At 38.3% G+C, this 14,921-nt stretch overlaps 1 protein-coding gene across 3 annotated transcripts in view, besides 1 other annotated feature; it reads right to left on the bottom strand.

Annotated features, from left to right (window-relative positions):
• Positions 1–14,921, bottom strand: part of TNKS (tankyrase) — a 226,435-nt gene that overhangs the window by 190,133 nt on the left and 21,381 nt on the right. For all 3 annotated transcript variants that reach the window (NM_003747.3, XM_011543845.4, XM_011543846.4), the window contains exon 2: positions 11,831–12,055. In NM_003747.3, the coding sequence (NP_003738.2) occupies positions 11,831–12,055 (225 nt within the window). The remainder of the gene's footprint in view (positions 1–11,830; positions 12,056–14,921) is intronic.
• Positions 14,621–14,740: an enhancer, noted in NCBI's record as "active region_26984". NCBI's record gives its function as "activates an Ori minimal core promoter by ATAC-STARR-seq in GM12878 lymphoblastoid cells {active_cell/tissue: GM12878}" and the evidence as "EXISTENCE:reporter gene assay evidence [ECO:0000049][PMID:35858748]".

Raw genomic sequence — 14,921 nt, 5'->3', positions numbered from 1 at the left:
TGGAAAGATTTCAGGCAACAAGCTATTAAAAACAGCCTATTTCCCTAAATTTTGGAAATATACTTGCCAATAGTAGGCAAACAATGTCATCTCAGAAATAACTGTGCATATTTTAGATAATTATTTTCTAATTAGTTAAAGTCCACCTGGCTTTTACTGTTAAATCTTAAAAATGAGTCCTATAATATATTCAAGTTTTCACATGAAATAGCTGATTCTTTCATTTTAATCTTTAAAAATATATCCTAAGCAAGTTGTTAGAAAGCATTTGAAGCAGCAGCCCTCAGACCGGAAACTGCTTTCCTGAATTTCCACAGTGTAATTAAAACGATAATGTTATTTCTCTATATACTGCTTTTAACCTAAGAATAATTGTCAAGCAGAAATCTTATTATTCCAACGCTGATGAAACACCAAATACTTTGCTATTTTAACTGATAAATCAGACTTCACCAAACTTAAAAACCTTTGCCTGTATACAGATACCATTAAGAAAACGAAAAGCAAAGCAAAGATTGGGAAATAGCATTCACAATACACACATCCAACTAAGACCCATTGTTACAGCACAAAAAGAATTCTCAAAAATCAGTAACAGCAAAAAATAAAAATAAAACCAAAGATGGCCAAAAGATATGCACACTTCACAAAAAATATACATGAATGACCACTGTACATAAAAATATTCTCAACATGCTCAGCCATTAGGGCAACGCAGCTTCTTTTACAGTCCAATGTGCACTTAGCATTCCACCCAGCAATCCCACTCTCAGGGATCCATCCAAGAGAAGTGAAAAAACATGTCCACGCTGAGACATACATCCAGCGTTATAACAGCTACAAACTGCAAACAAGCTAAACAACCACCAACTGTGCTACATCCATACAATGAAACACCATACAACAACAAAAAAACTAACGATATGCACACACAATATAAACTCACAAACATTTAGCCAAATGGACCTAGGGAAAAAATAAAAGACAACTCTATTAACTAGAATCATACACGAAAGGGAGTAAATTATTACTAAGCTTACAGAAATAAAAGATTATAAAGGAATATTATGAACAACTAAATGAGAAAACTGGATAGCCACATGCAAAGGCATGACGTTGGACCCTTCACCTCACATCATCTCCAAACATCAATTCCAAATGCATCAGACCTAAATACATTTCAGTTACAACTCCTAGATGACAACAGAGTTAAATCATGATCTAGGGTTCGACAATGGATTCTCAGATAAGATACCAAAGCACAAGCAACGAAAGCAGAAACAGACTTTTTAATGTTAACCATTAATCAAATCACCAAAATGTAAAACTTCTGTGCTTCAAAGGACAATATCACGAAAATGAAAAGACAACACAAAGAATGGGAGAAAGTATTTGCAAATCATTTTTCTAGTAAGAAACTTTTATCTATCATAACTCAATAATGAAAAGACAGCCAATTTAATAACGGACAAAGATAGGAATAGACATTTCCCCAAAGAATACATACAAATGGCAAACACGCACATGAAAAGATGCTCAACATCATTACTTATCAGGCAAATGCAATTAAAACCACACTGAGGTTCTGGCACAGAGTAGGCATTTTACTCGGAGCAAGCACAGAGCTTTATTATGCCAGGGATGTGGTGCAAAGTAAGGCAGAGTAGGTTCCTGTGTTTATATTAAGGCACAAAGTTGGGAAGAGTACACAGATGGCAAACAAACAAGTAAATGTATGATTAAATAAGGATATAATTCCAGGTAATAAGTGCTATGGTGTAAAATAAAACATGATAAAAGAGTAATCAAACAAACAGGGCAGGGCAAGAAATTATGACAGCTTTGTCAGGGCACAACTCAGATGAATTAACATTATTAGTGAAAAATCTGGGGAAAGAGTACCGCAGGCAGAACAAGTTTGGTGCATTAGAGAGACAAAAAGGCCATTGTAGCTGGAAGGTGGAGAGAAAGGGAGGGAATTACAGGGACATGAGGATGAAGTCCATGATGTAGACGGGAGCCAGACCAAGGAGGGCCCTGAAGATGAGTCCGGGTGTTACTTAAGTACACCTGGAATTATGTGGAGCATTTTTAAACACGCACATACTGTGATCTAATCATGGGCAGCTTCGCGAACACACAAGCTGTGCAGTTGCACAGGGCCCCAATGCTCTGCTGTCACCACCTGAAATTCTTAGCAATCTTATCTCTTAGCTTGTATTTTGTACGTAACATTCAACGGGACAATGAATGGAGCATGCACATGAACAGAGGAGACGTGTTGGGTGGCAGTATATGCATATAGAATTAATTCAGAAGAGTTTGTGGACAGCTATAGAAACATATTATCAGAAGACTTCTTTCACAAAGAGTATTAAGATCTTCGTTGAAGGCATGAGATGGTTCAAAGAATATTAACAGTAATCAATTTTCGAAGGGATCCAAAATCAAAATCAAGCTCATTTTTACTTTCTTCTCTTCCTCACCCACGTGGCTCCCAGCCCCGCTATATCAATTTACTCTCAGTTGTAGATTCCTATGTATAGTGGTGAGGCCCGAGGGGCCAAGTCCACACTAGGAAACGTCTCTGAGACTAAAGCTAACTGATTAAGGGTCAACATCTAACTCAAAGTGGGGCATCAGATTCTTTGCATCTCAGGTTTAGCAACAAGAGTGGACTTGAAGCCAAGACCTCACAGCAACTTTAAGGGAGGATTCTAATGAGAAGGCTGACATACCTCTGCTGCTAAAGTTCTTGGAGCTGGCTTGGTTGTTTACTTCAAAATTCTTGGTTTTCCTGACTGGTGTGTTTCTGTCTCCAACTTTACATGCAGTTATTTACTATAACTTCAAATATTTATCTGATGCTTTACAAGAGACCTCTAGTTTATAAACAATACCTTTCATTAGCTAACTCCACTACTAGGTTCTAGAACCTCCTAGTCAAGCTGATCCTGCTGCTACCCTTGGCCCAGAATGTATGTCCTGCTTCTAGTATCCTACTTTCTGATTACATTTATTCAAGTGAAAGTAGATTATTGTTTCATTAATACAGGTTTCAAGGCTTCTCACTGAGCAAAATCTCTAGCTATAGATTTTTTCTCATGTCAATAGGTTCAGTGGGAGCAGGGAAATAATCCCGTTTTCAGTCACAAACACTAATGAGGACAAATTCCCATACCAATCGAGTTTGTCATATATTCAATTATCTATGACAATAATATCCATGATGTGCTGAATGCTGTCATCTTTCCCCACTCCGATTAACCCATTAACCTATCCCTCTCAACTTGGATAAGCTTCTTCTTCCTAGTCTAATTTGAAATAAGGCTATGGGGTTTCAATATCACTTTTCCTTTGTTTTCCTGGTCACTAAAAGAACCATAGGCCAAGCAGCTCATTAGAGATGGAACAGTCTGAAAGCACTTCACACAGTAAACCTTTATAAATGGCCACGTGTTTCAGAAACAGACTCACCAGAAGCACAGACCTTATAATCTGCCCAAAGTCACAGGAATTAAAAGGTAGAAAAGAAAGAAATATTGGGGCCCTAGTCTTCAGTTCAACCTAAAATGTTTAATCATGCCTCATATTGCAGACAATAAAATTCCCCTTTTTAGATAAAAGAAACAATTTGGGGCCGGGCGCGGCAGCTCACGCCTATAATCCCAGCACTTTGGAACGCCGAGGTGGGCGGATCACGAGGTCAGGAGATAGAGACCATCCTGGCTAACATGGTGAAATCCTGTATCTACTAAAAATACATAAAAAATTAGCTGGGCGTGGTGGCGGGTGCCTGTAGTCCCAGCTACTCGGGAGGCTGAGGCAAGAGCATGGCGTGAACCTGGGAGGCAGAGCTTGCAGTGAGCCTAGATCCCGCCATTGTACTCCAGCCTGGGCGACAGAGCAAGACTGTCTCAAAAAAAAAAAGAAGCAATTTGGTTGTCAAGTTACATGTCTTTCAAACATTTTTTATGTGGCACCTGATTACAAAGATTACAAAGAAAATGTTCAGTTTAAACAAGTGTATAAGGACAAGGACTCTCCACACCTAATTTGACACAAAATTTATTTTTTTTAAGTTTCTTAGTAAGATAATTTACCCCAAATCTCAAAATACTTCAGAAACAATCATTTAAGCACAAATATGAGTCCACTACATTATCTGCTTTTTTATAATTATTTTAAGAATTCTTACAAGTATCATTCTTGTATATTTGCCAACATAAAAAACTGCTACTTATCCTCAGTGACCAAATCTTTAAGCATTTCCAAGAAAGCAGTTTTAATTGTATTGAAAACATTCTACTACTCTTTTCAGGAGATGCTCAACCTAGATAAATTTTGCAAAACCGCTGTAAGATGTTTTTATAATATATGCTTGCTATTGCTGCCGTAACAAATTATCACAAATCCAGTGGTTTAAAACAATAACAACAACAAACTTACTCTCCTACAGTTCTGGAGATCCTAAATCTGACGTAAGTCTCATTGGGCTAAAATCAAAGTGTCGGCCAGGCGCAGTGGCTCACGCCTGTAATCCCAGCACTTTGGGAGGCCGAGGCGGGCGGATCACAAGGTCAGGAGATCGAGACCACCCTGGCTAACATGGTGAAACCCCGTTTCTACTAAAAATACAAAAACAAAATTACCCGGGCGTGGTGGCAGAGCCTGCAGTCCCAGCTACTCAGGAGGCTGAGGCAGGAGAATGGCGTGAACCCAGGAGGCCGAGCTTACAGTGAGCCGAGACTGTGCCACTGCACTCCAGCCTGGGCGACAGAGCGAGACTCCATTTGAAGAAAAAAAAAAAAAAAAATCAAGGTGTCGGCAAGGCTGAATTCCTTACTGGTGACTTTCATGAAAACCTACTTCCTTGCCTTTTCCATCTTCTTGGGGCTACCCCCATTCCTTAGTTTAGGGAACCCTTTCTCTCTTTTCAAAGCCACCAATGGTGGCTTGAATCCATCTGAAATTATATCATCTGACTTTCTCTCTGCCTCCCTCTTCTACTTCTAAGGAATCTGGTGATTACTTTGGGTCCACCAAGACAATCCATGATAATCTTCCCATCTCAAATTAACTGATTAGCAACCAAAATTCCATCTGTAACCTTAATTTCTGTTAGCAATGTAAAGTTAACATTCCCAGGTTCCAGGAATTAAGATATGAACATCTTTCAACCATTATTTGCCTACCACATATAGCATGTAACTTCTTATAAAAAGTTTTTAAAGCATAACATTATATGTATATGGTTCTTTCTAACGGGAGACCCAACAGTACTCTCCAGGTACGCCGACTCCTGTTTCATTGTTCTTCGCAGCAGACCACGGTGACCCTCAATTACTCTAAGAGGAGCAAAGTCTTCAGTCTTCCCTATTGCTGATAACTCTGCATATTATTAGCCCAAAACTTAACAAGTCAATTGGATTATTTACCACCTAACTTCATACACACACACACACACACACACACACACACACACACACACGTTTTAGATATAAATTATATAGACTATATTATAATTTAAATATAAATTCTATAATACTGGCTGTTTTAACATTTTTTTCTGAACCAAGATCTTATCTGGGTTGATATATTACATTTGACTGAATGAATCTGAGTTTTACCTAGTTGAATAATCACAAGCTAAGGTATGTCCCCTACTTTTCCAAGGCAAAGGAGGGGGAAGAAGAGATAAAGCATAATTTTATTTTTGCTCTCTCTCAGCAGAATCATAAAATATAATTTTATAACAAGGAGTCCCTGAAGTATAAATAATGGGAAAAAAAACAGCAGAAATCCTATTACATATTAAATAATCAATTGAAGTTCTGAACTGGGATGGGAAAAATGGGAATTACAACAAATTGCTTTCATTAGTTCATTTAGATAACCAACTTTAATTATGGTATTAAATAATACTATCTTTATATAGTCAGCTTAATTTCCCCTAAGAAGCCAATTTGCTTAGAGACTTTTTAGAAAAATACCATCAGATCTCTATTTTTTCTTGCATTTTCAGTAAATATAAAAGTATCTGGAACAATATAATGTAATACAAGAAGAAAACTATTTCTAATCATGTTATTTCACGATAATAAAAGCAGTTGCCAAATAATGAGCATGTACTTTCTAATTATTATATATAAAATATACAGCTATTGTACAAGGGTGTTTCACGTATATTATCTCATTTAATCCTCTTAACAACTGTATGACATACAGCTATTACCCTCATTCCCATTTTAATGCTGAAAGAAGTAAACAACTCACTCAAGGAACAGGTCTCTTTGACTCCAACCACTATTACGTAATGCCATTCAGCCAGAAAACAGTTATTTTTTTTAAGTCCTAATTGTTAGATTTTAAAGAGCAGCTTGAATTTTGCGCTCCCAAGAAAGATATTCAGTGAGGATCCCCTCAGTCTCTGCATATAAGACAAATTAAACCAAGAATTGTTTGAAAGTATAGAGAAAGAAAGTTGCAGGAGCTTTGTTTCTCTAATGTAATGTCACTTGCTTGATTCAGCCTTTCTTACTCCCAAAAGGCTGCAGAACTGTTCTTTATCAAGGAAATTACAACTTAATCCTTTTCTTCCAGCAGGCTTTAGAAGGTTATTCCATTGTCTTCAAGCTGTCAATATTGTAAATGAAAAGTCCTTTGCCTAATTTTTTTCCCTCTGTAGGCAACTTATTCCTTCTTTCTGGAAAAGTGCAATATACATCTTACTCAGTTTATCTTTTCTCATCAATCTCATATGGAGCTCCCTGAGCCTTTTCAATCTCAAGATAGGTTTCTCTTTCTTATCATTTGTTTAATTATTACTGATCTCTTCCATCAGACTTTTTTTTCTTTTTTCCCCTGCCTCTGAAACTCATATCACGTGTAAGGTTTAAAATGACGTTGATGTTCCCAGATTTATTTACCTTTTTCGTCATGATTTCCATGTTTCAACATTTGTCTCTGTACATCTCACACGTAAGCTTCCAGGCTACTAACATGGTCTTTAATTCATCTACTAAATTGTTTCCTCTGAAAAAAAAATTAGGTGGTGGATTTTTTTTTTATTTCGGTTTTGAGTTTTGGCCCCAGGAAATTTCTTCCCCACTTTATACTTTAATTTCTCTGGGAGATATTTTTTTTTTATTCAGGTATTTACCTGACTCCTTTAGCAGTCCTGGATATGTATTCTGATTGTTGTCTTAATCATCCCTTCTGGCTGAGATGGGCTGTTATTTTTCACTTGGTTTGCTGGGCTTCATGTCTAGATGTTGGGGTATTCCACAGTGACAATCCCACATGCGTTGGAACACCATACACCTCTGTTATCTTTAGAATGATTTGCTGTGGACGCCAGCAAGCTGTCTCTTCCCTAATGAGAGGCACCTGGAAGAGGCCTCCAAAGGGAACATACTCTGTCTCCTTCACTCTTGAGAATTGTAGAGAATAAGGAGAGATGGAGGTGTGGTATACATGTAAACTGTGTGAGGGCAGTGAGACTTAAATAAAGATTCAAGAGATTTATCAGTTTAGAAGCCCCATTCTGCAACTTCCATTTAGCAACCTTCTCAAGATCTCTGTTATCAATTATACTAATTTGCAAGTAACAGAAACCATTGTCTATCTTAGACTGAAATGACAGGAGAGTAGAGGACCAACCTTAGAAACACATAAGAAGCTGTAGAGCTAAGAGTAGGAAGCACAACTGTCTTTTAGTAGGAAACATTATGACCAGGCCACTGCCCACACTAAAGCAAAAATCTGCTGCTATATATGATTCCTTACTATAGCTAAGATTTTGTATTCAAAATTCTACATTTACAAAATGAAGTGCATGACTGGACAAACCAAGACAATCCCTGACTGCAAAGAAGTAGAAGGAAGGAAGATCTGACACTACCAGTTTCCGCATTCCTCTCAGCAAGGAGTGCCCACAGTTTAAAATCTCCAAAATCAGAAAAAGAATTGGATACTAATTAGTCAAAATGAAAAAAATCACAAATATCCATTGTGACTCCCAGATTTTTTTTTTTTTTTTTTTTTTTTAAAGACAGAGTCTTGCTCTGTCACCCAGACTGGAGTGCAGTGGTGTAATCTCGGCTCACTGCAAGCTCCCCATCCCGGGTTCACGCCATTCTCCTGCCTCAGCCTCCCCAGTAGCTGGGACTACAGGCGCCCACCACCACGCCCGGCTAATTTTTTGTATTTTTAGTAGAGACGGTGTTTCACTGTGTTAGCCAGGATGGTCTCAATCTCCTGACCTCGTGATCCACCCATCTCGGCCTCCCAAAGTACTGGGATTACAGGAGTGAGCCACCGCACCCTCCGACTCCCAGATCTTATATCAGACTCCATGAAAAGTATGCTTATAATTTGCTTTTAAAATGAAATTCTCAAGCACTAACAGTCTCAAAAAACCATACAGGCTGGGTGCGGTGGCTCACGCCTACAATCCCAGGACTTTGGGAGGCTGAGACAGGCGGATCACAAGGTCAAGAGATCGAGAGCATCCTGGCCAACATGGTCAAACCCTGTCTCTAATAAAAATACAAAACTTAGCTGGGAATGGTGGCATGCGCCTGCAGTCCCAGCTACTTGGGAGGCTGAGGCAGGAGAATCACTTGAACCCAGGAGGCAGAGTTCGCAGTGAGCAGAGATCGCGCCACCGCACTCCAGCCTGGTGACAGAGCAAGACTCTGTCTCAAAAAAGGAAAAAAAAAATCATATAGCATATATTCAGAAAAGCTATTTAGTGGTTTTGGAGACTATATTTGAGGGGTAGGGAGAAGCAAAGATAAATAAGTTCTAAAGGCAGAAAATGTATTGATTTCTGAAGTAAATTCAATTCAACATTACAGTATAAAAACTGTCATCAACATTCCCAAGACCACAGTCTTAAGTAGTTTGTTTAATTATACAAGCATTTCAAGTTGATTTTTAAAATAATCTCAGTTTGAATTTTCTTCTTTTTGATGGTAAATAGCATCTATGAAAGAAACACATGGGTTCAAGATTTCTAAATGGACTTTTTTTTTTTTTTTTTTTTGAGACAGAGTCTCGCTCTGTCGCCCAGGCTGGAGTGCAGTGGTGCAATCTCAGCTCATCAAGCTCCGCCTCCCGGGTTCATGCCATTCTCCTGCCTCAGCCTCCTAAGTAGCTGGGACAATAGGTGCCCGCCACCACACCCAGCTAATTTTTTTGTATTTTTAGTAGAGATGGGGTTTCACCGTGTTAGCCAGGATGGTCTCGATCTCCTGACCTCGTGCTCTGCCCATCTCAGCCTCCCAAAGTGCTGGGATAACAGACGTGAGCCACCGCGCCTGCCCCTAAATGGACATTTTTAAGAAATGTCAACAAAGGACAAACAGAGGAAATGGGAATTCTGTACCACACAGGAGCATAATTCAGGCTGAGATTTTAGCACCAACAATAATAATAGTAATTAATAATGGCAATTAATATTCACTGAATGTACACTGTACCTGGTACTCTTCTAAATATTTTATATGTACTAGCTTATCCTCTCAGGAACACTGTGAAGAACAGTATTCTCATTTTACATGTAAGGAAAGACAGAGGCCAAGAAAGTGGCCCATGGCCTCACACAGCTGGAAACTGGTGGGGTCAGGGTATAAGCCTGGAGCATGTGCTCTACAGCAACCTGCCCTGATGTCTCCTGTAAGCTGGTGGTAATGTGGCTTGGCTGGGCTCTAGCTTTTCAAAAATATCAAATGTATTTGCTATTCTACCCCACATATAGAGATATGATTAATCTTTATAAAAATCAGGCCAGTATTTCATCATCTAGGCAAAAACCTTTTAAAAATCAATTTTGTATACTAATCTCTCAAAAACTACTAGACTCCAGCAAAAGGAAAACAAACAAACAAAAAAAAAACAAGGCTTCCCACTTTTTTTATCCAGCTATCCCAAAGCAGAACTCTGCCTTACAGAGAAAAATCTCAGAATTCCTTAACCATATTCAACTCCAGAAAATAAGATATATAAGCTATTACAGGTTTCAGTGAACCTCAGAATAAACCTCCTAAGAGGTTTCTGCAAGCTAATTAAGTATACCGGGGTTTACAACCAATTTTGACTCCCATAATAACTATGATACATACTTTAATAGCAACTATATCCTCATTTATATTTTGAGTATAGTTTCAAAGGTGCCCTTCCCCTTCCCTCAACTTTTATAAGGCACAAGAACTTAAACAGAATGAAGACAATATGTGCCAAAGCCTACTGTGAACTGAGGAAGTAGAGTGCTGCAGGGATCCATTCATTAAAAATTCAAGCCCCATATCTAGTCTTTTATTTCAATAGAACCTAGATAAAAAGAGCATTTACATTATGGACTTTTGAAAGAGGGATTAAGAGGAGGAGGCGAGAAATACTAATTTCAATAAGATATTCAAAGGACTGATAAAATGAAAACTTCAGATGTAGAGGCAGGAAAACAGAAGACTGAAGCCTGGAAAGGATAATATTTTAAGAAAGTGAGAACAGTATAAAATTCTGACTAATGACTGAGAAAAATCCAGTGGCTGTGACAACAAGGTGAAGCAAGAAGCAGTTACAGCAGAGAAGATGAAAGCCTAGAAGACTACGTAGGAAACACATTCCAAGCTCAATAATAGTTATCATTTACAAAAGCAAGTAACATAAGAGGCTTTGTAGTCAGAGAGAGGATGTTATAAGTTGAAGCTTCTCAAGGTAGTTTTATGTAATGACTTGGTCCAGGATGTGGCTATGTTAGTGAGAGACTTAGGAGGAAATGGGAGAGTCAGTTGAAACTGGAAGATGTCAAAAAACTGAAAGGACAGGATATCCAAAGGTCATGTTAGTGGATGCTCAAGTAGCAAAGGATAATGACAGAAAATGTGATTTTTTTAAAAAATAGTTTTATATCAGGCATTGCAATAATTTGAGGAATATTGAAAAATATATTAGAAGCTGCAATAGATGGCTATAAGGAGGAATAATCTTAACCATTACTAAGCACCACCACTATATCTTTTAAAATGTCATGTATATTTTAGTTGCATCATTAAAAAACTGATTATGCTGAAGTGGATGACATCTGGGAAGACAATTACGTAAATCAACCTGCCATGGCTAAACAAACATCCATCATCTCAAGTATCAAAAAACAGATGATACACTCAAGAGAAATTATACTTGCCCTCTAGAAGCTTTTTAGATTTCAAAATAAAAAATTGTATACAGCAAAGCAAAATGTGAATATATATGAGAGAACAAAATGCTGATTGAATACAGCTTCGTTTCATCTAGATACCTAAAATGATTGAAAAGTCCAATTTGTTTGAAATTGCTTTTTCTCTAGACTATGGCACATATTGAAACGATTAAGTTCTGAACTACTGTATTCAAAACACTCAAAACCCCATATAAGCGGGGGGACTACTATACTAGATGAGTTTCCTTGAATCAACCTCAAGTGTTCAAATGTCATCCAACTCAGTAGAATTTGTACTTTATAATGGCTCTCATTGATGGTAGGATAGAAAATGTCCAGTCTTTAAAAGAGACTATAAATTAACTAAATTTGACAATAGTAATCCATTAAAATTGAGTTCCACATCAATAGGCATTTGACTGCATTTGGAAAGTTAATGTTGTGAGTCTTCCCCTAAGTAACTTTAGATTACCATCTCTCTGTTTACCTTTTGATGGAAAAGAACTGCTTCTACAAGAAGCAATAAACCCTTCCTTACCTATTCTCAGGAAACACTATTTGTACCACAAAAAAAGTAAGAATAAACCTTTATTTAAAATTTAGATATCATCAAATGATACTTACCAATGCACACATCGATCTTCCCTTTAATAGCAGCTTCATGCAGAGGTGTATAGTTCCAGTTATCCCTGGCATTTGGATCAGCTCCTTGGCACAATAACAGACTCACAACCTCAGCATGGCCAAAAGAACAGGCATTATGAAGCGGGATGAGACCTCCATCATCACGAGCGTGGACATTAGCACCCATCTGTAGTAAGTGTTCTACAACATCCTTCCTTCCAAAACCTAAAAAGAAACGAAAAAATGTCTTGTATATATATTTGATTTTGTAAAAAGAACCATTAGAATATCTGTAACAATATCAACAAGTATGAACAACTGAAGTACTGCACTCTATAGTAAATGGTGTAAAACAAAAGAAACATTAGCTTCATTCAAACTGACTCATTTCACAGAATTTAGAACTAAGGAAGCTCTTCCTTTAGTCTTTGGGCTGTTCATTCAAAAAACATTTTCTAAACACTTAATATGTGCTGTGCAACAGTGCTAGAAACACAAAATAAATATGACAAGACTTATCCAGGAACTCACTTTCCCCTCAGGCTTCACAACACAAAACTGTATATAGAAACTCATCACTACATTCATAGAAACAAGGGTTATTTAAATACTGCTGATAAGCCGGGCGCAGTGGCTCACACCCTCACAGCACTGTGTGAGGCCGAGGTGGGCGGGTCACCTGAGGTCAGGAGTTCAAGACCAGCCTGGCCAACATGGTGATACCCCGTCTCTAATAAAACCACAAAAATTAGCCAGGCGTGATGGCAGGCACCTGTAATCCCACCTACTTGGGAGGCTGAGGCACGAGAATCGCTTGAACCTGGGAGGCAGAGATGGCAGTGAGCCGAGACCACGCCACTGCATTCCAGCCTGGGCAATAGTGCGAGACTCCTCAATAAAATAAAATAAAATAAAAATAAATAAATAAATACTGCTGATAACCGAATCTAAGACAAATCACAACACACAGCATTGTATTAGGGAAATTGGGGATGAATGTATGGGTATGAGAAACACATGGTGAACGCTTGGTCAAAGGGAATTTTGAAAAGGAAGAACTAAAGATGATGCCAAAATATCTATTCTTGGGGCTAGTGGCCAAACTATATGAAATGGGTGGTGAACTGGAACAATTCAAGCTTGGATTCACTTAGTTTGAGGAAACGATATGGCAAATGAGTGGGAATACAAGCACTTGGGAATATAAAACCAGAATTTTATAAGAAGTATCACAGTTTTCAGACAAAAATGGGGGTTTAGGGGGAGTCAGAAAGAGTCTCAAGTAGTCTAAGGATGAGGCAAACACTTAGAAAGGTAAGAAATACTAAGAAAGCACAACATCAACATCGTGGAAGTCAAGGAACAACAACATTATGCAAAGTCCAGTACCATGAGGATTTAATGAGATCAACGGAGAAGAAAACAATGGCCATTGGTAATATTAAACTAATTTTAGTATAGTGGTAAAATTACAAACTAAATTGCAATGGGTTATAAAAGGAAACCGCAAATATTCGCATTTTTATATTCACAAGCTAGAATCTTAATTAATGATTCTTTCCCACTTTAAATTGTATTAGGTCTTATTAACTAGGTATCACTACCTCTACTATTATTGTGTAATACTGTTACAAAATGGCATCTTAAATAAAAATAAAAGACAGTAAAAGAGTCACATCTTCCTTTATTTTGGGCATATGTTAAACAAATAAAAACCATGTGGAAAAGAGTAAGGGGAAAAAAGAAATTTATCTCAAGATATGTCTTCCATGCTATCTATAGAAATTCATTCATTCCAGAAAAGCAGGCTCTAAGAAAAAGTCTCCAAAGTAAAGCATACATTTCCACAGATATGTATTACAAAGTCAGAATGAGGTTTCCGTAGAAAATATCCTTAAAAATTAAGCTGATAATTTTAGGTGAAAAGATCAATTTTGTATTAGTAACTGAATCAGTAAAAGCATAGGGTACATGCTCAAGTAAACTGTCAGCATCTTACCAGGGTTCCTGGTTTTGTTTTTTAAATACCTGCAGAACTTTACGGATGTTAGGTTTTCTTTAATTCTCTAACTTCGACTTCCTTCCCTCTACCATCAATGCCCTACTCTTCCACTGGGCCATAAGTGCTGTCCTGACCCAGGAAGGTTGAATTATTCTCCTTCTCTACGGATCTGAATAAAGCCTGAGTGCAAACTTCCATTTCCCTAATCAGCACCAGCCCTTGAGAGCAGCCATGGGAGCTGACTCCTGCAAAGCCACAGGGGTGGAGCCGCCCAAGGCCTTGGGAGCCCACCCCTTGTGTTGGTGTGGCCTGGATGTGAGCCGTGGAGTCAAGGGAGATTATTTTGGAACTTTAAGATTGAACAACTGCCCTGCTGGGTTTCGAAGTCCATGGAGCCTGCAGGCCCTTTGTTTTGGTTGATTTCTCCCTTTTGGAATGTGAGTATTTAGCCAATGCCTGTACGCCCACTGTATCTTGTAACTAACTAACTGGCTTTGATTTTACAGGCAGAAGGGACTTGCTTTGCTTTGAACTCTGGACTTTTGAGTTAATGCTGGAATGAGTTGAGACTATTGGGGACTATCGGGAAGGCATGATTGTATTTTGAAATATGAGAAGGATATGAGATTTGGGAGGAGCCAGGGACCAAAAAATTTGGTTTGGATTTGTGGCCCCACCCAAATCTCATGTCAAATTATGATCCCCAGTGTTAGAAGAGGGGCCTGGTGGTAGGTGAGTGGATCATGGAGGCAGATTTCCCTCTTGCTGTTCTCGTAATAGTGAGTTCTCACAAGATCTGGTTGTTTAAAAGTGTGTAGCACCTCCTCCTGCTCTCCTCTGCCTCCTTCCCTGACCATATAAGACATGCCTGCTTCCCCTTCACCTCCCGTCACGACTGTGAATTTCCTGGGGCCTCCCCAGCCATGCTTCCTGTACAGTCTACAAAACTGTGAGTCAGTTAAATCTCTTTTCTTTATAAATTACCCAGGCTCAGGTAGTTCTTTATAGCAATGCAAGAACGGACTAACACAGCCATTATAAAAACATTTTTACCATTACTAAAAAAAAAAGTCAAAATAAATTTCCTTG

The sequence above is a fragment of the Homo sapiens genome, chromosome 8 (assembly GCF_000001405.40).
Source record: "Homo sapiens chromosome 8, GRCh38.p14 Primary Assembly".
Classification (NCBI taxonomy): domain Eukaryota; kingdom Metazoa; phylum Chordata; class Mammalia; order Primates; family Hominidae; genus Homo; species Homo sapiens.
Note: the sequence above shows the minus strand (reverse complement) of the source record. Positions and strands in the feature narration are given on the sequence as shown.